Genomic DNA, 25,977 nt, shown 5'->3' with positions numbered 1-25,977 from the left:
GGAATTTAAATCAAGGTGTGTCTGTTCATGTAGCCTATATGTACTCCTTATATTATACTTCATTTCCAATTTCTTCACATTTGTTCAAGACAAACTTTTAAAGTCTTACCTCCTTTTTTTCTTTCCTAACAGCCACAATATGAGAACACTTCACTCCAGACACCATTTTCAGAGGAATCAGTTTCCCATTCCCAACAAGGGGAATTTGAGCAAAAGCTTGCATCTACTGAGAAAGAAGTTTTACAGCTTAATGAGTTTCTCAAACAAAGACTAAGCCTATTTAGTGAAGAGAAGAAGAAACTAGAGGAAAAAGTAGGTTTTTCTAATAAAGTTGAATTAGGTCAACAACATTTCCTCAGCATATAATTATTTGTCTGTCATTTACCCTGTCAGGTGTCATGCCAGGTTATGTATACATTTATGTGGAGGTGATTAATTTTGTAGTAACTTTTGAGAAGCCCTCTGCTGTCTGCAGAAATCCAAGGATTTTCTTTGAGGATAGAAATGCTCTTGTATATCTTTCTAACAAATAGTAAAATCTTTAAAAAATTAATTGCCTACACCAAATAACTGTTCTCCTTTTCCTTATTGAGTCTATGATTTCATTTTTTTTGTCATGTTGGGCATAAAGGGTTGGTAAATGAAGCTGGCCTATCTTTAATAATGATGCAACTTAAGTTATTAAACTGAAGCCCCTGATTCAGAATAAGAAGCTAAAAACCAAATACACAGACAGGAACACTAGATATGCATGCATATGTGTGTGTGTGTGTGTGTGTGTGTGTGTGTGTGTGTGTGTGTATAGATGTTGGTATGAAATAGAAGGGAATGATTTTACACTATTGGTGAGAATGTAAACGAGTACAACAACTATGGAAAACAGCGTGGAGAACAGCGTGGAGACTCCTTAAACAACTAAAAGTAGAGCTACCATTTGATCCAGCAGTCCCACTACTAGGTGTCTGTCCAGAGGAATAGACGTCATTACATAAAAAACACTTGCACATGCTTGTTTATAGCAGCACAATTTGCAATTGCAAAAATATGGAACCAGCCTGAATGCCCATTAAGCAAAGAATCGATAAAGAAAATGTGGTGTGTGTGTGCTTTTTGATTATTATCAGTATAATTTTGACTTTTCATGGACTTCATATTAATGAAATTACATGGTATATATTCTTTTATTCAATGTCTTTGAGATTTATTTTTATAGCTACATGTATCAGTTTCTATCTATTGCTGAGTAGTGTTTTTCATTATAAAGATATACTACAGTGTATCTATTCTCCTGTTGATAGATATTTGGATTTTTAGCATTTTGGAGAAATTATGAATAAGGCTGCTGTGAACGTTCTTGTACAAGATTTTTTGTCTATGTGTGTCTTCATTTATCTTGGATAAATACCTGGTAGTTGAATTGCTGGATCATAGGGTTTGTACAGTCGATATTTAACTTACAAGAAACTACCCAAGTGATTGTACCATTTAATACTCCCACTACTAGTGTTGGGAATTCCAGTTTCTCCACATCCTCCCAAATCCATTCTTGATAGCGCAAAGGACTTAACTTTTAACAACAAAGGATCCAGTCATTTTACTTCTTTGGTTAAAACTAATTTATGCCATCCCATTATATTTTCTCTTTTCGTTGTAGAAAGAACATTTAATACAAGATGTACCCTTTTAACAAATTTTTGAGTGTATAATTCAGAACTATAGGCATATTGTACAGCAGATCTCTAGCACTTATTCATTTATGTAATTGAAACTTTGTATGCATCGAAGAGTAACTCCCACTTCCCTGCTCCCCAGTCCCTGACAACCACCAGTCTACTCTCTGTTTCATTTATCTCATATAAGTGGAATTATGTAGTATTTGCCTTTTTGTGACTGGCTTGTTTCACTTAGCATTATATCCCCCAGAGCCATCCATCTTGTCACAAATGATGGGATTTCTCTTTTCAAAGTTTGAATAATATTCCATTTTGTGTGTGTGTGTGCGTGTGTGTGTGTATATATATACACACACGTATGTGTGTGTGTGCATGTGTATATATGTGTGTGTGTGTGTATATAACATTTATGTTGCTCATTCACCTGTTGCTGGATATTTAGATTGTTTCCACATCTTGGGTTATTGTGAATACTGCTAGGAACATGGGAGTACAAATGTTGCTCAGAGATCCTGATTTCAATTCTTTTGGATAAATATCCAGAAGTAGGATTGCTTGATCATGTTTTATTTTTAGTTATTTGAGGAACCTCCATACAGATTCCCATAGCAGCTGTATCATTCTACATTTCCACCAAGTGTTCAAGGGTTCCCCTTTCTCCACATCCTTGCCATCATTTGTTATTTTCTTTTTTCAAGAAAAAAGATGGCCAGCCTAACAGGCACGAGATGGTTTTGATTTGCATTTTCCTGATGATTAGTGATGTTGAGCATCTTTTCATATACCTGTTCACTATTTGTATGTCTTCTATGCAGGAATTGAGCATGTGTGGATTTGGTTATACATGAGGTGTCCTGGAGCCAATCCCTTTCATATACCAAGGGACAACTGTACTTTCTTATGCTTTTGTATTACTGTTTAGCATCCCTTTATTTCAACTTGAAGAATTCCTCTTGACATTTTTTATAGTACAAGGGTAGGTAATCAACTATAATATCACAGCTTTTGTTTGTGTGGGAAAATCTTTATCTCTCATTTTTTTTTTTTTTTTTTGAGACAGAGCTTTGCACTTTTTGCAAACTCAGGCTGGAGTGCAATGGTGTGATCTTGGCTCACTGCAACTTTTGCCTCCTGGGTTCAAGTGATTCTCTTGCTTCAGCCTCCCGAGTAGCTGGGATTACAGGCACGTGCCACCATGCCCAGCTAATTTTGTATTTTTAGTAGAGACGAGGTTTCACCATGTTGGCCAGGCTGGTCTCAAACTCCTGACCTGAGGTGATCCACCCACCTTGGCCCCCCAAAGTGCTGGGATTACAGGAGTGAGCCACTACACCCAGCCACTCCCATTCATTTTTGAAGAACACTTCTTCTTACATTATTCTGGGTTGACAATTACCCCCATTCCCCATTGCCCAAGCAGTGCAAGTTTATCATCCCACTTTCTCTGCAAAATTTCTTCTGAGAAATCTGCTCATAGTCTTATTGGAGTTCTCTTGCATGTGACAGGTCATTTTTCTTGTGATGCTTTCAGAATTCTCTTTTTGACTTTGACAATTTGATTTAACTGTGTCTTTGTACATATTTCTTTGGGGTCATCTTATTTGGGTTCCATTGGGTCCCCTGGATCTGGATGTCCATTCCCCATGCCTCCTGCCTCTCCCTCCCACACACACATATTTGGGAAGTTTTTAGTCATTATTTCTTTGAATAAGCTTTCTTTCCCTTTCTCCCCCTTCCTTTTTTGGGACTCCTACAATGTGTATATTTGTCCGCTTAATGGTGTTTTTTAAGTTTCTCAAGCTTTCTTTACTTTTTTATTCCTTGTTCTTTTTGTTACTCTGACTTGATAATTTCCAAATACCTGTGTTTGAGTTTGTTTATTTCTTCTTCTGCTTGATCTAGAGTGCTTTTGACCCTCTCTAGTGAATTTTTATTTCAGTTATTATATTTTTTAGTTCCAAGATTTGTTTGGTAAAGTATTTCCTATCTCTGTTGAAATTTTACTTTGTTCATGCATTGTTTACCTGACCTCATTGAGCATCTTTATGTTGGGTATGTTGAATTCTCTTTCAGGCAAATCATGTATCTTGGTTTTATTAGATTTGGTTTCAGGAGATTTATTTTGTTTGTTTTGGACATATTTCCCTGTGTGTTAATTTTTCCTCCCTCTTTAAGTTGATACTTGTATATTATATAAAATAGCTATCACTTCCACTCCTCAGAGACTAGCCTTATACAGGAGAAGACCCTCACTAATCAGTCTGGCGAGAGAGGGGGGCTTTTCATATCTTTGTACTAGTTTAACTAATTTTTTTTTTTGTTCTTAGCATCCTTCAGGCTTCAGGAGTATTCTAGGTCCTATCAGTACTCAGACAAGCAGAATTTCAGCCAGTCCCTTGGCCAGACTTCTGAAAAGTCAGATTGTTGGGTGTTCTGTCCATTGCTTTCTCTGCACAGGGAGAAACTTGAATCTGGAGTTTCTTCACTCATTGCTGGAGTGCTGAGCTGGAGCTGTGGACTGTGGAAACTGCTAGCCTAAACCATCATCTCTGATCTCACCGGTCTGATCTCACTGGTCCCAGGCAGCAAGAGTGTCATGGTCCTATTAGTGTTCCAAGACAGGCAAGGCAGAAGCCAGTCTTCTGAACAGCACCCAGAAAAGTTGGGGTGTTGGATGTGTGATCCAACTATTTTCTTTCCCAACAGGTTCCTTCTGATCATATGCTGTATTGGGGGTAGGATTACAGGTGTCCTACATTTCCTTAATTGCTTCCATGTGGCTGATTTTGCATTCACCCAGAGTACAATAGCTTCTTGACTAATTTTTGGATTTCTTAAAAAGGGAATTTGTCCATGTTGGGGGTTTTACTATTTTTTTAATTGAACCCACATGTTGGTTTGGGGAAGGAGAGTTCAAGACTTGCTTTTCTGCCATCTTGCTGACACTACTCTCCAGGTCTTTAAAATATAAATCAAATTCTTCCCATGGCCTGAGACACATTGCCTAATTATATATCCATAGGTTCTGCCAATCTTCCTCTGATAAACTGTGTATTGATACACTGGGTGTTACAGTTGCTCAGACAGCTCAGGCTTTGTTTCTGGTATCAGGATCTTTACACAGAGTGGCCTTTTTGCATGGTAAATACTTGGCTATTTTTTTCTCCCACTTTCAAGTCACCTATTTATTTGCTCAAATCTAGCTTAATATTTTTCCCTTCTACTCCTCCTTTCATATGCTTATAGCATTTTATTCTTTTTTTCCAGGGCTCAACCCAATTTGTATAATCATTATTTTTTATATTTCTCTCTAAGCTCCTTGAAGGCAGGGGGATTGTATTTGAATGTGTCTCTGTGGCGTATGTAGCACCATTCATGGTGCCTGGCATGTTGAATGAATTCTTTCAGGTAATTTTTGCCAGGATGGGAGAGAAAGCAGTAAGGTAGACTAGGGAAAAAACAATGAGAGAGAGAGAGATCAAAGATGTTAGAGTGGGTGCATAATGGAGCAAGTTCGGGAAGGGTTGGTAACAGATGCAAATATGGTAGAGTTACTCTCCGAAAAGAAGAGGAGTAGCTTCTGTGGGAGTGAGGCAATTAAGAATGGAAATGTACATACCAGAGAAATTTGAGGAGAGGGGATAGATGTAGAGGGCAGAGTTTGTGTCAGAGCACATGGAGATGACTTGAGTTCTTCAAGGGAGTGCATAGATTAGGAAGAGCAGGCTCCTTGATAACAAATCAACAAACAGCACTTTGGGTCCACACAAGATTGGATCATATTGTTTCTTTTGGCATTTACTCTGTAATCCTTATCAAAGACTGATTCTATGACAGAAAAAACAATGTGGTAATAATAATGTTACCTTTGAGTTCTTTCTTATAAAAGCCAGATAATAAAGAAAAGTAACTTTGTGAACTTCTTATAAAACATGTCCTTCCTATTACCTTCTAGGAATGATATCAGTATTGCGTCATACCTCTTTGAAAAGAAAAACTTAGCCTTGTATTAATAGAATAGAGAAGATTTATTAGTGACACCTCATTTATCTGGAGGTAATTAATGCAGTTCAGACTTCAGTAACCTCTGTTTGTATGGGACAGCACAAAACTTGGCAGTTTTAAAAAAAAATGAAACACCAAAAAACAAAACAAAGAGCTTGTCATCTGTGAGCAGGCTGAAAAAAACCCAAGACCCAATGAATATGTATGATCAACATGTGACCAACAAATAACAGAGACAGTGTCTCGTAGGAGAGTGTTGGCAGCAATTTGTGATCAAGGGAAGCAAGCTTGACATGACAGCAAAGAGAGTTGGACAACCAAAAGAAAAAGAAGAAAAGTAGGACATCTTTGCACACAGACAGACCTATTCCAGTCATTGCTTTTTGAGGCATCATTTTGTCACATTGAAGACATTTAGACAGTTGAGTCCAAGTTAGAGAGCATTAAGTAAACATAGGTTGGTTTATCATGTTTACCTCTGTAATGTACAGGGTCATTTGCTAAGGCAAGAGCAGGCTTGGTTGATGGGGACCAAGCACAGCTGGTTACTAAAATAAGAACCTGATAATGAGTCATAACAAAGAACTGAAAGAAAGTTGATTTTCAGTCAGATGATCTAGATTCAAATTCCACTTCTGATTTTGTGACTTGTTAAGTCACTAAAGATCTTTGGGCCTCATCTGTAAAAAGGGAATTGTATTATATGGTCACCACCAGTGCCAACAGTATGTAAGGTTTTCTATTCTGATAGATCACAGGGTAAACTGTCACACCAGCACATTTACCTTTAATCCTAAGAAAGCCCCAATAAATAATAGGATGTGTTTGTCTTACCAGTGTTGCTCCTTACCAGAGGTCATAAGTAGATCCTAATGTCACTGGTGAAATGAATAATTTTTCCACATGAAGTTTTAAAAATTGTTATACATTAGACCTGAAAAAAATTAGAAAATACATGAAAGAAACTAGACTGTGAACAAGTGTTAGCTTTAATAAAGTTTGAAAGAATAATCCATCTTACTGCTAATTATTGCCAGTTATTTTCCCAGTGAATATGGGAAAACACTGTAAAAATATTTTAGAACCCTGTAAGTTTTGAAGAGGATTAAATGGTTGGAAGATTGTTAATTTAAGGTAAATAGGAGTAAATATGAAAGAGCTTTGACTATGAGATATGAAATTTATAGATGATATATTTCATGTAGTAGGGGGTAAAAAGTACATGAAAATCTGACTTTCAGCCTATATAAATTGGGATTTACTAGAATCATTATCATGTGTGTACACACCATGTGTGACATAAGTGTTCGGTTACCATACTTTATCAATCCTAAAATGACATCAATAGTAAGACACCTTTATTTTGTGGTTTTTAGAAAGAAAATAAGCTGCAAATTCAATTATGACACAGTGCCTTAAACTAGTGTTGCTTGAGGTATGAATTGGTTTCACTAGTCCATTATCTGCCCCTAAGTATTTGGTGTATTCTTCCAGCTTTAGTTGCATTGTTTAGTACACTATAAGCAATTTCTCTGCAAGTCTGTTAACGTAACAAAATAGTTTTAGTTACTTGTAGTATCTTCCTCTCTTAGTTCCCATAAAGCATTTGGGTATAGTTATGCAAAAACTAAGAAATCGGAGTCATTCCTTCAGAGATGAATACTTCACTGATTTCAAAGGCTTTTTTTCTGTGCCTGTCTGGGCACCCAATAACATTGTTCCATACTAAATTGTAAGGTAACATTGTTTAGGCATTTTAGACATCATTTAAACTCAACACATAGTTTCTACATGTATATGACAATATTGAAATCACAAAGATATGAACAGCCTTGACCAAATTTGCACATGTGCAGGCAATAAAAACTATGTCATTACTGCCCCCTGGTTGATGACAATTTATAGGATGCCGTCCATGGTAAAAGCAAATATTCCCTAAACTGTTGATTTCAGTGACATAAATTTTTTTAAGTGTAAATCTTTTTTTGTTTGTTTGTTTAAATTGAGACAAAGTCTCGCTCTATCACCCAGGCAGGAGTGCAGTGGCACAATCTCGGCTCACTGCAACCTCAGCCACCCCAGTTCAAGCGATTCTCATACCTCAGCCTTTCAAGTAGCTGGGACTACAGGCACGTGCCACCACGCCCAGCTAATTTTTTTGGGTATTTTTTTAGTAGAGACAGGGTTTTGCCATATTGGCCAGGCTGGTCTCAAGCTCCTGACCTCAGATGATCAGCCCATCTCAGTCTCCCAAAGTGCTGGGATTACAGGCATGAGCCACCACACCCGGCAAGTGTAAATCTTAGAATGAAATAAGGTAAATCTTAATTGAGTTGCTAGTGGCCTTCGCTATAACCTGAAACTGTTGGTGAATTCAATGGTGTCTAATATTAAAGTGTTGGTTTTGTTATATCTTTTAATGACTGAAAACTACTGAAGGTTCATAATTGTTTGCTTTTAGCTTAAAACTAGAGATCGATACATCAGTAGTCTGAAAAAGAAATGCCAGAAGGAATCTGAACAAAACAAAGAAAAGCAGAGAAGAATTGAGACCTTGGAAAAGTATCTGGCTGATCTTCCAACTCTAGATGATGTACAGAGTCAGAGTCTACAGGTAACATGAAATAAAATGCTTATCTTTAAATGACATGAAAACATGTTAACTTGACTCTAGAAATTTGGCTAACTATAAGTTAAATCTATGTGTTTAATTGCTGTTTTGGGGACTTAATTCTAATAAGAAACTTTGTTTATCTAAGCATGCATAAGTAGATCTTTCTTGTCAGTTAATAAGTGATTACCTTCCTATTGATCCTGTATTGTAACTCTCTTAACTACTGTAGAAGTTAGTTTCTAAACCAGTCTGCCAACCTCTACCCCATACACATGCATGCACACACCCCCAGTTCTGGTGCTTTCCAACACAGTCTCTAGGATTCACCAAGGCTCGACAAGACCTTTTGTTGACTATCTTTCTAGATATTTTCTTCATTCTTCTTAACCTTTATATATATATATTTTTCTTATACCTTGACCTATGACTTCAATTAACTCCTCTGACTTTTTCTTTTATTTATTTTTTTTTCCTTAACAATACCTCAGAGTCTTTCTCCTAACTGAGGTGAGGGCCACTCTCTTGAAACCTTATTTATAAATCCACTAGATCTACTCTTCAGTCTCTTCCCAAAGTTGTTCTAAGCCAGGGATTCTTGACCTCGGCACTATTGACATTTGGAGGCAGATAATTTTTTGTTACAGGGGTGTGCCTTGATCTTTGAAGGGTGTACTTCTGCATCCACATATCTGCCCTCTACTCACTAAGTGCCAATAGCAGTGCTCCTTCTCGTTTATCCCAAACCCAAAATGTAAACAGATATTTCCAAATGTCTTCTGGGGGTAAAGTTACCCCCACTCAAGAATCTAATCTATGAAGTGTCACTCTGCATACTTTAAGACCTATGTTGCATTCTCTGTTTATTTTACATTAATTTATAAGTTGTAAAAACTAAGAGAGATTAAAGTCAGGCAGGAAATTAAGGACTGCAGGAGGTTGCATGAGCAGGAACAGAGGGCAATGGGTATTAGAAAATATGTCAGAAAATACCTAACATCCACTGGGGTGGCAGTTAAGGGTCTTGAACAGATGTTTGTACACCCATGTTTATAATGTGATTATTCACAATAGCCAAAAGGTGGAAGTAGCCCAAGTGTCCATGACCAGATAAATGGATAAACTAAAGGTGGTATATACATACAGTGGAATCCTGTTCGCCTTAACAAGGAGAGAAATTCTGACACATGCTATCGTATGGATTAACCTGGAGGACATTTTGTGAAGTGAAATAAGCTAGTCACAAAAAGGCAAATACTGTATGATTCCACTTAATGAGATACCTTAAGAATTCAATCACAGAGATAGAAAGTAGAAAGTTGGTTACCAGGAAATGGAGGGAGAGATAGATGGGGAGTTGTTTAATTGATATAGAGTTTCAATTATGCAAGATGAAGAGTTCTGGAGATTAGTTGCACAACAATGTGAATGTACTTAACCTCAACCTGTCATACACTTGGAAATTGTTAAGACAGTATAGAGTTATATATTTATTACAATAAAAGTAAAATAAATTTAAAATGAGAATATTAACCTTTCTCGGTCTTCTACAAATTTCTAACCCCATTCTCTTCCTTGTAATTCTGTTCTTCTAGGTGCCTTTCACACAGAGGAAGAGATGGAGAATTAAATACTCTAGATAAAATACAGTGTGATTCTTTTTTTTTTTTTTTTTTAGCTACAAGTCTGTTAATCCTTGCCAACACAGTAACAGTTTCTAATAGAAGCGTATTTAATATTTCATGTGTAATGAACTGTAAAACATTTCTCCTTAGCTGCAGATTCTGGAAGAAAAAAATAAGAATTTACAAGAGGCTTTGATAGATACAGAAAAAAAACTTGAAGAGATCAAAAAGCAGTGTCAAGATAAAGAGACACAGTTAATATGCCAGAAAAAGAAAGAAAAGGAGTTAGTAACTACCGTTCAGAGGTAAGAAAATTTTCTGAATCCTTCTACATTATTTTATTCGTATTTTTCATAAAACATTTTACTTAAATTAATTTATAATTTTTATTTTATTCTCCTTAATTTAAAGATGTACTACAGGATGCTCATCCCTTATCCAAACTGCCTGTGACCAGGGATGTTTTAGATTTAAGATTTTTTTCAGCTTTTGGAATATTTGCCAAGTATTTACCCACTGAGCATTTCTAATTCTGACAATCCAAAATCTGAAATGCTGCCATGGGCATCTCCTTTGAGCATCATGTCCATGCTCAAAAAGTTTTGGATTTTGACACATTTCAGATTTCAGGTTTTTGGATTAGGGATGTTCAACCTGTATTAAGAACTAGAAGCATAATTTCATTGAAACAGGTTATCTCAGTTATAATTTAACATTTTGAAGCAATATATTGATATCTTGCCAAAAGTTTCTGTTGAAAATAGTAAAAATAAAAACTCATACAAATGAAGACTGAAAATATTAATACAAACCCTTTACCTAATGGCTTTATAAAAAAAAAAAAGTAAAAATTCTAAATAACGAAAAAGGGGCCAGTAAAATACTCAAACTGCACTCCTTAATGGAATATATCAAATTGAAGTGATTGGCTCCTATTTCTAACTTTACTGCAAGTAAAAGGTACAGCAGTTTTGCCATGTATCTTCCAGATTTACTTACTTCTCTTGCCTCGTGGGTCTCAATTAATACAGTTGTAAGTACGTGTACCCCCAAACCTAAAATAAAAGTTAAAAAAAAAAAGAAAAGAAATGAAAGAGAAATGCAACTCTACTGATTTAGGCAACAGCTATTCTTACAAGCAAACTTTTGCTGAGCTTAGAATAAAGAACAAAAGATGTGGATCCATATTCTTAGGTTCCCTGCAATGATCATCTTAATCAAGGAACCCTGCTTTTAGAGGAAAAGGAAAGAACATGAGTTAGACTTCAGAGCTCAGATTTGGGTAATGAAGGACTTCATCGGAGCCTAAGGATGTCACATACTGAGCAACTCTGGACTCTGGTCTCAAATTTGCCATTTCTGAAAAGATGATCAGCCTCTAGCTAACTATGGACCCTTCTTACTTGTTATGAACTATAGATAACAGTTTTTCATATACTGTCTGTGGGTCTTGATGTCATTTTTAGGGTCTATAATATTTTTTAATAAAGCAATAATCATTTATGTTGAAATCATTACCAAAATCAGCAAATAGAGCTTATTTTCTTCATATAATTGTCTTTTGAAATAGTTTGCAACAAAAAGTAGAAAGATGCCTTGAAGATGGAATCCGCCTTCCCATGTTAGATGCAAAACAGCTTCAGAATGAAAATGATAATCTCAGACAACAAAATGAGACTGCTAGTAAGGTCAGTAGATACCTTAGATCATAAACGTGAAATCTATGCTATGTGGATATGTGTGTATAGATACATAATTTATAGCTATTTTATGTGATTTATATTTTGTTAATATTTAATCACTTACATAGTTTCTAGTTTGAATGTTTTTATTTGAAAGGACCATAGCAATTGAAACAAAATTAAATAATTGAAATAAAAGCCAAAACAAAAGGATATCTTTTTCCTTCCTTAATTATTCAGTCTGTCTCAAAGTTACTCTTAAAAATTTTATAAATTTGAGAAAACTTTTATTGAGAACTAGAGGAAGACTTTTGTAGTTTTATACGTGTGTGACCCAAATCATAAGGATACTTTCAGTTTTTTAAAAAGACCCTTTTAAAAAATAAATTTATAAATTTCTGTGCTGTTTTCTTGAAATGTTGGTACTTTTAAGAAGCGATGTAAAAATTATTTGAATCAGATGTATTTATTTTGTTTTAGATAATAGACAGCCAACAAGATGAGATTGACAGAATGATTTTAGAAATTCAGGTAAGGAATATTTTGTGCTTATTTTAATTTAGCTATATTCTGATATACTCTTAATGCTTATTTAATCTGAAAATATTAAAGCATGCATATATCGTATGGAAAGATAATATTTATAGCACTGAGGTAAAGTTGCAAATTCTTTAATATTAATCTTCCAGTTTTTGCTGTTTGATAAATTAATCCTAAAAAATTGTAAAGATTCATCAGTGAACAAGTCACATCCCTGGCCACTCTAGTGGGGTGAGTTGGAGAGAATACAAAACCAATATAATGAATACCAGGTGCTATGAAAAAAATTGCTGTTAAACATGTTATTTTAAAAAATTAAGTAGGCTAGAGAGTGCTACATTTAATAGAGTGGTCATGATGTTTTTCCTGAAGAGGTGATATTTGAACAGGGATCTGAACGAAGACATCCAGGGGAAGAGCATTCCAAGCAAAGGGAGCAACAAGTGCCCTTTATGTACCTGGCATGCTCTAAGAACAGCACAAAGTCTGTTAGCCTGGAGTGCAGGAAATGTGAGGTAGTGTGATGGGAAGTCATTGGTCATCTTTTGCTGAAAAATGTTTAGCTTTATACCCCTAATTTTACTGTTACTTCTTAAAATCAAAGTAAAAGTGGTAAATGATTTGCCATTATATACAGTCTTCTTTCTTTGTCTTTTGGTTGTATTATTTATCAATAAATGTATGAGCCTGATGGATTGATTGACAGAGGTTATAAACTTTATTTTATATTCCTACAAACATAACTTCAGCTGTTCCATAAGCCATTAGAACCTCTAGATTGTTAGATTTCCTCAGCTATTGTTATGTGACTTATGCTGGACCATAATTCAAGGAATTTCCATTTCACTTGGGCACGTTTTCCAAGAAGTAAATCTAATACAAGTTATCTCAATCTAAATTAAGAATAATCGACACTTGAACTTTGGCATTGAAACTTTAATGACTTGTAAGATTTCATTTATCACATACTGTCACATTATAGGTGTTCAGTATATATTAGCATTCATTGAAATGTGCATTTTCCCCCATTTGTGGAGGCATCTTACTGCAATTTACTCTTATATGTTAACCAAGTCTGTAGTCACATGTAAATATGTCATGACCATACATAAATGAATATGTAGAAGAATATGCAATTATGGGCCATACTGTTCTTTGTTACTAAATTGTTTCAGCAAACACAAATCTTTTATTCAAACTATGTAGAGAATTGAAGTAAAATTAATGAGATGCATTTATTTCCAAATATTTGGGCCTAGACACTATAATTATTAATTCTGTTGTCTTTTGAAACAATGGCTATCTTTTTTGGTTTTCTTTTCTTTTTTGTTCTTAGCATCTCATTTGCCCATTCTGACCATCAAGGTTTTCAGATCTAGAGACACAGAGATCTATAGATACAGGTCACAGAGACAGACAATAAATGTTGATAACTGGCTAAAATAGCTATATTTGTGAAGATGGTATTTGAATAGCAAAGCTGGAGATGAATATGACTCACATAATGAGAAAATTATTTACTAGTTTTAAACTCATGTTATTTTTTGGCCCCTCATCATTTAAAAAGACAAATTTTGTTTGTATTTGGTCATTTTTGGTGACCTTTTTCTAAAAGGCATATCTATAAAAATCTGAAAATATTGCTTGTTATTAAAAGAGGAGCACTGATTATTTCCCTAGCATTGGACACACTGAAAAGAACACTTTGGGTTGAAAAAATATTCTTGTGGCTTTCTATTGTGGTTAATGGACATAATTAATGGGTGTATTATCAAGCTGATATACCTAATACAGCAATTCCCTTCACTTTCTACTTCCTTAAAGCTGCCTGATTTTTCCTCATCAACTTACGTAAAGAATGGTCAGCTTATACCTATGTAGATTATGATGTCCTTTCCATATGCTATAGCTCTGTTTTTGAATTTCTTCAAATACCTTTGCCTATCCAAAATAACACAAAACACTATATAATTAAGGATACCAGAGAACCTCCCAATTATTTTTAATATAAATTATGCATTTTGACTATCACTATAGTATTAATTTTATGTAAAATCTCACTGACGCTATAGTTGGGATATTCTTTCTTCCTCCACAGTGCTTGGTTTTTCCATTCTAGAGTATTCAGTAGACAAAGATAACTTGGTACTATTAGAATTTCATGTGTTACTGCCTCTTTATGTCCTTGCAAACTGTTGAGAACACCAAATTTGTTTGAAGTTCACTTGTCTTGATTTGGTGCACTGCATTTCCTTGGGAACAAGCAAGTTATTCATACAGTTTAAATTTACTCCCAAAAGGGAAAAAAAAATCCCAGGCTATGTACATTTTATGTCCAATTTATAGGAGATAAAAAATAGGGCATTGTTTCATACTTAGATGCTGTGTTCAAAATACAGCTATAGTTTATTTTTTTGCCACAAAAGTCAAATAAATACTTATCTGTTATAGGTCACTGGCATGTTTATTTATTCACAGCTTTCGAAGTTGGAGAGAAATCATTCCTCTACTAGTTATACTATATTTGTTGTTGAATATAGAAAAAGTAATACTTCATGTAAAAGTATATGCTAATTTGGAAATTGAGTTGAGTGCTGTAAAAATACAGATTTATCTACTGTTTTTTTCAGCTGTCAAGGTCATATTGTTAACTGGCATGAATACCTTGTTTACTCATTGACCTTTTAGAAATGTCGCCCTTATTTATATCCATAAAACTAGTATAGCTAGCCTGGCTGCTTCTCCTATAGGTTTTTTCTTCTGTCATTATACAGTATATAAAGACATTTTGCGGTAGAATGTTGCTTGTCAATTCCATGAACATATGGCTGCAGTCAGAATGTGATTGAGTTCTTCATTGGGCATTACTTTCCTTCTTATTTCTCAAAAGTGCATTTCAAATCCGTAAGCCTTTTTCAGTGAGCTGTTATCATTGTAGTCTTTTGGCAGAGGACATAGAGTTTTGTAATGTGTGCTTGTTTTCTCTGACATTAAAATGTTTACTAATTGCAAGAACTTAGGCATTTAAATGGCCTTTCTGAATTGACAGCCATCAATAGATGATCATAATATCACAAAAGATAGAATAATACGTTAGAGGACATTAAGACTGTTTACTTGGCCGTGGTTGGAACCACCAGTCTCAAAACTGTGACACAGTCTGTTCTATTTATAACACATCGAGATGTTCCCACAGCCTAAGAAAATTCTATTCCAATTTTTAGCAAATCTCATAAATCCTTCATCTAGCAGTTTTCCTCAGTAGAAATAGTGGGAAAATGGATCATAAGTCAATGGAATATCTTATAGGTAGAACATAACTCCTTTAAATATCAATTGCTTTAATGTTTTCCCATTATTATTGTGTGATGTTTATCTCCTATTTTTTGTTATCCGAATTGTGTTATGTCTTGAAATAAAGTTCTTTTTCTCAAGTTTAATTTTGAAAACATTTACTTCTGTAAAATTGCTTATGATGGTGAAAAACTAAAAGTATTCTTATCAGAAGTTAATACTAAATTTTGAAAAATGTACCAGCCAAATGCCTTCTATGAAAAGTAGCTTTAAAAAAAAAAAAACGCACACACTGTAGTCTTGGTACTTGTAAAGAGAACAGTCTTTACTGTTCACGTAGATCTGTTGTATGCATGTTATAGTTGCATAATTAAGATATGTCAAAAAATGTGTAAAAGGTGGATTTAACTTGAAAAATCAGTTATGTCGCGGGGGGGAGTTGTACGAGTGAAGACAGCTCACTTGAATCATGAAAGAATGTTCTTGGGCCTGTTAGCGCTGCGAATAGTCACCAAATCTATATGGATACTCACATTATTTGTAATACTTTTTAAGATATATATTTCTGGGCCCTATTGTGAACCTAATGAATCAGTATCTCTGGGATGAATTTCGAATTATGTATTATTAAGTTCCTCAGGCAGTCCCTAACTTTGCCATATAGTCTGGCAGTAAAACTAGAGCATTTAGGAAGCATTACAATCCTCAGCACGCTCAGTGGACCAAAGAGTGGGAACTGGAGAGAAAGACTGAGGTTTAAATTTAAAAAACAAGTTTAGTTTCTGAGATACTTAGGTGTCATCAAACACATTTAACATATTTTGGTAGATATACTTATAAACCAGAAAATACATTTTTTCCAGAAGTTAGAAGCCAAAGAACTCAAGCATTAACAGTTTTATTAAGATATAAGTCACCGGGCGTGGTGGCTCACACCTGTCATCCCAGCACTTTGGGAGGCCGAGGCAGGCGGATCATGAGGTTAGGAGATCGAGACCATCCTGGCTAACACAGTGAAACTTCCATCTCTACTAAAAATACAAAAAATTAGCCAGGCGTGGTGGCGGGCGCCTATAGTCCCAGCTACTCAGGAGGCTGAGGCAGGAGAATGGCATGAACCCAGGAGGTGGAGCTTGCAGTGAGCCAAGATTGTGCCACTGTCCTCCAGCCTGGGGGACAGAGCGAGACTCGTCTCAAAAAAAAAAAAAAAAAAAAAAAAATGTCACCTACAATTCACCCACCTTTTTTGAAGTGTGCAATTCAATACTTTTTAATATATTCACAGATAAGTGGAACCAAGACCATAGTCAATTTTAGAACATTTTTATCATCTCGAATAGAAGCCTCATTTTTGTCACTTCCCTAAGCCCCCATCCACTTCCCCAGCCATAAGCAACCACTGATCTACCTGCTATCTCTATAAATATACCTATTTTAAACATTTCATACAAATGTATATATGGTCTTCTGTGACTCTTGACCATATCCAGCTGTTAGGCTCCACTAATTGTAGCCAATCATTCAGTTGTTTTCAACAATGCCCTGTGGCATAAATTGCTTCACAAACTGATCCATTCTAGCTCTTTTGAAGGGACAGTTCATTAGCTTAGTGTTTGAGATTTGTTCTGACCTCAGGAGTATTCTTCCCAGCTATCTCACTGTTTTTCCCTGGGAAAGTAGTCTATGGATTTAGCCTATAGGGCCAATGGGTCTAATAGTATCCTGTCAACTGCCTTTCATGACAATCTCCAATGTTTTTGAGTGCTCTAAGGCTTTGTCATCACACTGTTGCAAATGAAGTGAATTCCTATAGAGAGACATTTGGAGCTTCTAGTTCTATGGCCTACTTTTCCTCAGGCAAAATCTCTTAAGCCAGGTTAATTGGTGTGGGGACAATGACAAATTTCTGAATGGTACCCCCACTCTAGTAGCTGAACGCTCACTGGAGGGAGTTCTGGCAGCAGCCCTACATCTTTTTGACTTGCCTCTCCCAGCGTAGAACCAGTGCCCCACAAGCTGGGGCAAGGGTCAGGATTTCTGCACTCAATGTAAGCTTCCATCCCATAAGGGGATTGAGGTAGAAGAAGGGAGCCCCCCATCTCTTGGTTGCACTTGCCTAAAACAGCCTTTGCTAGGATGATAAATGTTGATGCCCTATCTTTTCTGGAAAGAGAACTGTCTAACTAGGGTCTGGGAGGAGAGGGAGCCGTGTGTTATTGGCTCTGTCAGTCTGAAGTAGAATTTCCATCCCAATGAGATGTGAGAAGTCAGAGATGGAGTTGAGTTTTGTTTCATTTTTCTACTCTAGAATCCTTTCGTGAAGCAGAGTTTTATTTCAAATACCAGTCTCTTACTCTTCTTACTGAGTTTTAGTAGATTTCCTTGAGTAATGTTTCTTCATTTGCTATATGCTCTTAGGACCATTTCCAGAAATTTTTAATTATAATATTCACCAATTTCATTGAGTGGTAGGTCTGTGGAGCTCCTCACACTGTCATGCTAGAAGCAAAACTCCAGGCAGATTGTTTTTAAAGTTTTATCAAGTTACAAGATGATAACTAATTTAAGAAAGGAATTCGAGCTGTACATTGTCTTAGATTCTTAGAAACATTAAAAAAGGCTCTTTTTTTTATTTCTTATCTCCCCACCACCAAAATAAACACCCTGCTATACATTTCAGATTTCCTATTAATGGCATCTCTGCCCTTCCATTTGTTCAGTCCAGGTATCCTAGATTTATCCTTGACTCCTCACTTACCTCACATTTGACAGCAAATTCTACTACCTTGAAAGTATGTCTAGAATCTGACCTCTTCTCCTTGCCTCCTCCATTGCCACCCTGTTCCAAGCTGTCTCCCTTTCTCATCTGGGTTATTTCTTCATGCTTCTACCCTTGCCTGTGCACAGTATACTCTCATTAGGTTAAGTGATCCTTTTGAACAAAAATCAGATTACATCATGTCTCTGCTCAGAACTCTTCAGTGGATCCTCATTTTTTTTTTCCAGAATAAAAATCAAAGTTCTTATACTGATTTCTGAGGCCCTATACAATCTGTTCTGCATGCTGTCTTCCTTCTCTGACTCTTTCTCCTACTATTCTCAGCCATCCTGGCTCTCTTGCTTTTTCTCAAACACAGAAGACACCATCTGTCCCAGAACCTTTGTACTGATAGGAACTCTGGATATCTCTGGGACACAATCTCTCACTTCCTTCAGGCCCTTGCTTACCTGAGATTTCAGTCTCCTGACCCTTACTGTGCTCTGTTCTCCACAGCACTAGTCAAATTCTAATACATGATACTGTGTAACTTGCATATTTATTTTATTTCTTTTGGTCTTTTTTCTCCTAGTAAAGTTCCACAAAGGCCAAGAGTTTTGACTGTTTGTTCACTGATGTATCACTCAATGAACAGAACAGTGTTTGGCAATGATTTTTGCATGAAGGAATGTCCCTGTGAATTTCTTATATGGTATGCATGTTTATGTGTGTATATATGCAGTAAAAATGTTAACATAAATTTTCTTTCAAAATAGTTCCTTTTAAATTGGGTTTGGGGATTATATAGAATCTGGACTAAGGCACACCTGGTTTTCCCTCATTCAAGCTATTTGTAAATGGGGCATTTCTGGATACTTACGTTAAAACAACAAATGTGCTTATTTCCACTGTTCAACTTCAAACATGATCATTATAAAGACCTTGTAGGTTAGTACCTTGGCAGAATTTTTAAATGTCATGATTAAACTGAGAATTTGAGAGCTGTTGTAGGTGTTTGCAAATTAATTTTTAATTTTATTAATCCCCTACATGTCTAGTGAATGATAAATAGTTATTGTAAAATTCACAAGGCCAAACACTCGTTTCAGAAAATATGAGATATTTCATTTATGCATTGTAAAGTACTACCAGTTTGAGCAAGTATATTTTAAGAGCTTAAGAGATTTCAAAAAAATGCTCTGCAAAAAGTATTTATAAAATAACGCACAGTATTCTTGATAGAATTTTTCTTGTTATCTTTTAAACATATCTTAATACAATTTAGGATAGAGAAGTAATTAATGTTTTAGGTGAAATGTTACTGTCAGACAACTATAGCACTCATACCTAGTATTATCCTAGACCAATTTGTACAGCACTTGGTCCTTTCAGGATAAGCCTATCTGCAATGTCTTTTACCTATTAAAGTGCTTCTTGATAACTGCCCTTCAACTCAAGCAACATATGAGAAATCTGATTTTCCTTTTTGTGATAAATGGCAATACTGCCAGACATTTTCAGTTTTTCTGATGGAGAAGATTGCCTGTTTCTGCACTGATTAAAATCAGTCTTACATAGGGACATATTAGTTGGATTTATTAGCTAATTATTAGTCACATTCAACATGACTCTGAATTGGTAAAAATATAAAACTCTTATCTTTTAAAGGACTGTATTCTGTTACAATGTATCATTATTATAATTATTCTGTTATATATAATAATTATATTGTGAAAACACCCCTCGAGTTTAGTTTTTTTTTTGTTAGAATGTGAGTTTGAGTAGTGTGTCTATGATGCCCTTCTTCTGTAATTCTAATAAACCGTCACAAATCTTGAGAAAATTTAGGTTGAATTCTGGATTCCAGCCAAATAATCTTGTTAGGCCAGAAAGGATAGATCTTCAGCTAGGTAAATAACTCTCCATGTTCATTTAATCAAATAAGATTTGAGTCAATCTAATGAAGTTACAAAGGAAATTTCAGTTTTCAATAATACACGTATTCAGAGAGCCCCTTGTTGACTTGGTGCTTTTTTTTTTTTCATTTTTGTGGAATATAAAACAACTTTTCCCTAGAAGGAGAAACACTTGTTATAGAGTTTGATTCATTTCTGTCCAACTTCTGAGTTACTAAATGTAATATTTTTTTCAGAGTTTAGCAGACAAATGAAATTTAAAAGCAACAAGTTTGAGTATCTGTTACTGATAAAACTGCTTTATATTTATGGAGTCTTATTTCAACCCATGGTGATAGCTATCTTTTTTTACTCCATCCAAAGATAATGTGAGGAAAATATCTTTATAGTAGATTGTGTGCTATTTAGGTGGTCAGCAAACTGAAGTATTGTCAGAATTGAGACTAAATACAGACCTGAAATAAAATGATAACCTCTCTTCTGGTCATATGTTTATTGATTTTGTGGTCTAATAAAAGGAAAATAGTTGATAGAAACACTTAGAATTCACTAATAACTACAGGGTGTATGGCAATTTTTTCTTTTAATATATTGGTGAAAAGACTAACCAAAGACTCAAAATGTCCTTTATGCTGCTTTGGCGTACTCACAATAGTGTCATGTCTAGGTAATTTGCAATTTTATAAGGAGTAAGAAGGAGATTAGCTTATCAAATTCCCATAATAGACCTTTGACCCAGAGTTCACAGTATATTCACTGCTTGGATTACTATACAATGAAAGACGGGAGCTATGTTTCAAATGATAGAAAATAGGGATGATATCATGATCTTATTATCTTGCATCTCATTAACTGTAAGCAAAATGTAAAACAAAAATATAGATTTGTTGCTAATACACTCTCTACATATAAAAAGTTAATGAAATAAGAACTGTTTGTAATACCATATTAAGTAGGAACTTCAGATTTGACATGTTTTATACAAATTAAAAACTTCCTTGGTAAAAACTGTAATTTAAAAAAATCCAAATGTATTCTGGGAAACCAGCATTTCTTTTTCTTTTTTATTTGGATTCAGCCACTCTCTAACTGATAGGGATTAGTTTAAAAGTGAAGGCTTCATCTTCCAAGGGGATGGGGAGGAAAGAAGATTTAAAGTATTCAGAGCCAACATTCCTACTTCTTTCTGTTTGAGATTTTTCTTTACATGTTAACCTGTTTTGCTTTCCAATTTTTTTAAAAATTCTAGTCTATGCAAGGAAAGCTTTCTAAAGAGAAACTGACCACTCAAAAGATGATGGAAGAGCTGGAAAAGAAAGAAAGAAATGTACAGAGATTAACAAAAGCATTGCTTGAAGTGAGTAGAAGAAATTCAATTTTGCTTTGAAAGGATGATTCACTATAAAATGCTTATTTTATAGATATTAATAGAGCATTTTCAGATTAAAGACATGATTTTGATATGCCTGTTAATTAATTCCATTGTTTCTTACCAAAATTATTATAAAAAGACAAACCTTTATTTATTTTGTGTTTTAGAATACAGTTTCACATAATTATAGTACAGTATATATTTATTATATTTATTAGCTGGCATTCATCTATAAAAAAGTTTTTTTCCAATCACCCCAGGCTATTGAGTTATTCTGAAATACAGTTCCAATTGGAAAGCTAATTAAAGTTACCTTTAATTAGCAGTTTTCAAGATAAGAAGGTAGCAGTTTTGGGGATCAGCAATTCAGAGTTGTTGGTTTTTTCTTTTTTTCTTCTTCTTTGATTTTATACTTGTTATTTCTTTGTCTCTCGCACCGAAGTTTGTGGTTCCTATCAACATTAACATAGATGCTTCCCCCCACCAATATGCAAAAAGTAGTTTCAAAGTAATTAAACCACTATTGCTACTAACAATAAAAACCACAGAGTGAGGTTCAAAGTTACTTTTTAGTTCTTTTTATCCTTGGAATAAATCTCATTATAGAAAAATACAGGCTGGGTATGGTGGCTCACACCTGTAATCCTAATACTTTGTTTTGGGAACCTGAGGTGGGCAGATCACTTCACCCCAGGAGTTTGAGACCAGCTTAGGCAATGTGACAAAACCCTCTCTCTACAAAAAATGCAAAAATTAGCCAGGCATCATGGTGTTTACCTGTGGTCCCAGATATTCAGGAGGCTGAGGTGGGAGGATCACCAGAGCCCGAGGAGGTCAAGGCTGCAGTAGTGAGTCATGATTGCGCCACTGTACTCCAGCCTGGGTGACAGATTGAGGCCCAAAAAAGAAAAATACATACACAACCAACATGCTTATTACGTGAGAGACTCCTAGAAACTGAGACTGGATTTATGTTTCCTCCCTTGGATATACGCTAAAGCATCAGATGGCACAGAGAAACAATTTCCACTATTTAAATTGTTATTTTTCTATGTGTTTTTTTTCCCACTGCATATATGTAGTTGAATTTGGTTAATGTGCATATAATATGACTCCATCGTTTTGTTTATAGACTTGGGGGAGAATGTTAACCTGTATGGCTTTGAGTACCTTTCCTCTGTTCTAACAATCTGATGTTTGTTTTCTTTATCCTTGCAGAACCAAAGACAAACAGATGAGACATGCTCTTTATTGGATCAGGGCCAGGAACCTGACCAATCTAGGCAGCAGACAGTTCTTTCCAAACGGCCACTATTTGATTTGACTGTGATTGATCAGCTGTTCAAGGAAATGTCCTGTTGTTTGTTTGACTTGAAAGCATTGTGTAGTATTCTTAATCAGCGTGCTCAGGGCAAGGAGCCTAATCTTTCATTATTACTGGGAATAAGATGTAAGTGTCTGATGACTTGTCCTTATTTTGTGGCAATTAGAAACCTATCTTCATGAATCAGGAACTTCCGACTGCCTTTTCTCTGTTTATTTTTGTAATCTCTTTTCCTACTTAGAATCAGTCTGTGGGTTTATGTATACCTGTTATTACTTCATTGCAAGAAGTGAGTAGGGTTATAGCTGACATTAACTGCCACTTGGTAGAATGCCTGGTGATGTTTCCTATGTTGAATCTGTAAATATGTGAATAGAGTGGTAGTTAGGTGTGACTTCCCATTTTCTCTTCCAAAAATAATGATTCCTTCTATTTGCTTTCATGTGTTAGTTGTATAGATTAAGTGACCCAACCATATTGTCCACTGGTAAAATATTTGAGAAATATTTTTGCTTTCCAGTGCAGTATATGTTCTATGGCAGCTGCTTCACGTGAGTGCCAGTGATTTCACATGAGCCAGTTTTCACAGCCTACAAATCTGTTGCCTTTGTCATGCGTACCTGCTGGCTTAATGTGACACCCATTCACTCTTGGCCTCAATTCTGTCTTCCTCCACACATAATTGTGGGAGCTGCCACAGTAATAATCCTAGTGTCCCTTTCTTTCTGTGCTACTTTTGCAGAAACGCTCATCTCTGTACGTGGTTCCAAATCAGGATGTTAGTCTCTTTATAATAGAGAAGAAATGAACTTGGAAGGAAATAGGAATGCAGTAAGACCATATAATAAGGTTTATGGGCCAACGTGTATTTAGTAGCTGCCTAATATTATGGTTAATAATACTGGTTTTGTTTCAAACAAACTGATTTTGTTTCTAGTTTCATCAAAAAGATTCCACCATTTTGCATCATAATAGTTATTTTGGCAAATCAAATAATGCTCTTGACCAAAGTATATCACTTGTTAAATGAAACATTATCTGTGCTCAACTATGTCCCTTTCATTTCATAGACATTTGTACACATACACAAATGTGGATATCGAAAAAACACATAATGTTTAAGTATATTCACTCACGGAGTAAACATTTATCAGATGCCTTCTATGGTCCAGACACTAAGTAAGTGCTGGTAATGCAGATAACCTGAACACAGTCCTTGTCCACACATTAACCAAATTATTAGAGCATTCTGATAGGTGCTATAGTTGAGATGTGGACAAAGGACAGTGGGAGCACAAGAGGAAAAAAACAACTAAATCTACGTGGGAAGGGCTGTGGAGACTCCACAGAGTAGTTGGTGTTCAGTGTCGCTCTCAGACGAGGAAGAGGAGAAGTTTGCCTGGTGAACATGGAGTGCTTTAATATCTCTTGGGAGCAAGAAGCAAAGCTCACACACAAAGGGAACTCACTTTCTTCATGATTTTAGAGTTGGTCACCCTTTTAATTACTTTAGAGTCTCCTACATTTTCACTGTCATAAGGTAGCATTTGTTAAGTTTTTCAGTAATAGAGTAGTAGAGCTATCCTAATGTGAATCTTACCACGCCCACCTCCCAATACTCCTTCTAGTCTTTAAAGTTTGACCCCAGAATCCTTACCTTATATTTGGCATTGTGAAAGTTTTACCAGCCAGTTGATTTGTGAAAAACCAGTCACTTCATGGCTCCATTTACTCACCCTGTCCTTCTGAAAACTGTGCACTACCTTGGTTTCCATGACATCATTCTCTAGGTTCTGCTTCTGCCTTTATGACTGCTCAGTCTCTGTCTTCTGTGGACTTCTCTGCCACTTAATTATTGGTATCCCCAGAAGCCTTTTGTTACTGGTTTTGTGTTTGTTTCTTTTTATTCAGTACTTTATCTGAGTGATCTTATCCACTCCTGTTTTTTCTGTTACTGCCATACCTTTCACCTAGACATTTATCTCCTTTACCCAGACATTTATCTCCTCTGGGCTCCAGATTATATTCCCATGTATATTAGAACTGGCTATTTCAAATGCATCACAGACTCTACACATTCAAAACCAGAACACACTTTCCTTCCCTCCCTGAACCGGTTCCTCTTCTCAGTGAGTAACACCACCATTCACCTGTCACTTGAACCCAGAATTTATTCTCCACTCTGCTTTTTCCTTCATCTGGCGCCTGTGCCCAATCCCTGCCCATCACTCAAGTTGATGATGATTGAGTGCTATCAGTTCTGTCATCTGCTTACTACATCTAACATTCCTGCCCTTCTATCTCCATTGCACTATTGCCTTAATTTAAGTTTTCATAACCCGTCACCTATACTGGTCTCTCTGACAACCATCTTTCTCATCCCCTCCCCCTAATCCATTTTACATTGTTGCCAGACAGATCTGTCTAAACTATGAACCTGGTTTCCTAATGCCTACACTGCTCTGTGGTCAAGATAGGTAGCTACTACCTACCTCTATAGCCTTATTTCTTGGTACTCTCCTTTGTCACAGTTTGTACTCTACCATTTTAGAGCTAGATACTGATTTTCTTGAGGTTTCTCAAATTCTATCATACTGTTTTGCTTTCTGACTCCACTTTTGTTCATTTTGCAGTTTGGCCAACCCAGTGAACAAGCAACTGTTACCTCTCCAGTTAGGACTAGTTGTTTGTTTTTTTATGCCACTGCAACTTGTATATAGTGGTAGGTTACCCACAGTACCTCACTGTGTTCATTTGTTTATGAAATTGTATGTAAAGCATCGAGAACAAGCCACTGTGTCTGTTCCTTTTCTGACTTCAACATCTAACATAGTTCCTATATCATGGCAGATGTTCAGTTAACATTTGTTAAAATAACAGTCACTCACTGACTCTTATGCCTACAATAAACTACTATGAAGGTATAAGGAGAGGTTTCTTTTGTAATCACTGGCTCTGCCTGATTTTATGTTGAGATATGCTTACAAAGAGAAGAACTGAAGTAAATAACTAAAAGCTGGCTGACTCAAGGCCCTCAGTTATTCAGCCATTAGGCAACCAGCTATCAGCCTGATTAAATTGTTTGGGATTGTAGGGTCCCAGCTTTCACTCTTCCTCTCCCTCTTCCTCTCCCTCTCTGTCTCTCTCATTTTCCCTCCCCGCTCTCCCTCTGTGTGT

At 35.8% G+C, this 25,977-nt stretch overlaps 1 protein-coding gene and 1 long non-coding RNA gene across 17 annotated transcripts in view; one reads left to right on the top strand and one right to left on the bottom strand.

The window, feature by feature from the left end:
• CEP85L (centrosomal protein 85L) overlaps positions 1–25,977 on the top strand; it is a 249,318-nt gene that overhangs the window by 218,092 nt on the left and 5,249 nt on the right. For 11 of the 14 annotated variants that reach the window (XM_011535811.2, NM_001178035.2, XM_017010846.2 and 8 more), the window contains 7 exons: positions 133–312; positions 8,140–8,292; positions 10,065–10,219; positions 11,485–11,602; positions 12,077–12,127; positions 21,354–21,461; positions 22,695–22,926. In XM_011535811.2, the coding sequence (XP_011534113.1) occupies positions 133–312; positions 8,140–8,292; positions 10,065–10,219; positions 11,485–11,602; positions 12,077–12,127; positions 21,354–21,461; positions 22,695–22,926 (997 nt within the window). Of the gene's footprint in view, positions 1–132; positions 568–8,139; positions 8,293–10,064; positions 10,220–11,484; positions 11,603–12,076; positions 12,128–21,353; positions 21,462–22,694; positions 22,927–25,977 lie in introns of those variants that run through there. The other 3 variants (XM_011535810.3, XM_047418761.1, NM_206921.3) reach the window with 2 other exon arrangements.
• LOC105377971 (uncharacterized) lies at positions 420–24,539 on the bottom strand. 3 transcript variants are annotated; one of them, XR_001743824.3, is made up of 5 exons: positions 24,458–24,539; positions 10,914–10,969; positions 9,824–9,888; positions 6,529–6,612; positions 420–5,501 (listed from the first exon to the last, which is right to left on the bottom strand). It is a non-coding gene; the product is annotated as an uncharacterized LOC105377971 (long non-coding RNA). The 3 variants fall into 3 exon arrangements; XR_001743822.3 differs by lacking the exon at positions 420–5,501 and adding an exon at positions 6,270–6,358; XR_001743823.3 differs by lacking the exons at positions 420–5,501; positions 9,824–9,888 and adding an exon at positions 6,270–6,358.

Source organism: Homo sapiens, chromosome 6 (genome assembly GCF_000001405.40).
Source record: "Homo sapiens chromosome 6, GRCh38.p14 Primary Assembly".
NCBI classification, from domain to species: domain Eukaryota; kingdom Metazoa; phylum Chordata; class Mammalia; order Primates; family Hominidae; genus Homo; species Homo sapiens.
The sequence above is the reverse complement of the archived record's forward strand: the minus strand, read 5'-3'. Positions and strand labels throughout refer to the sequence as shown.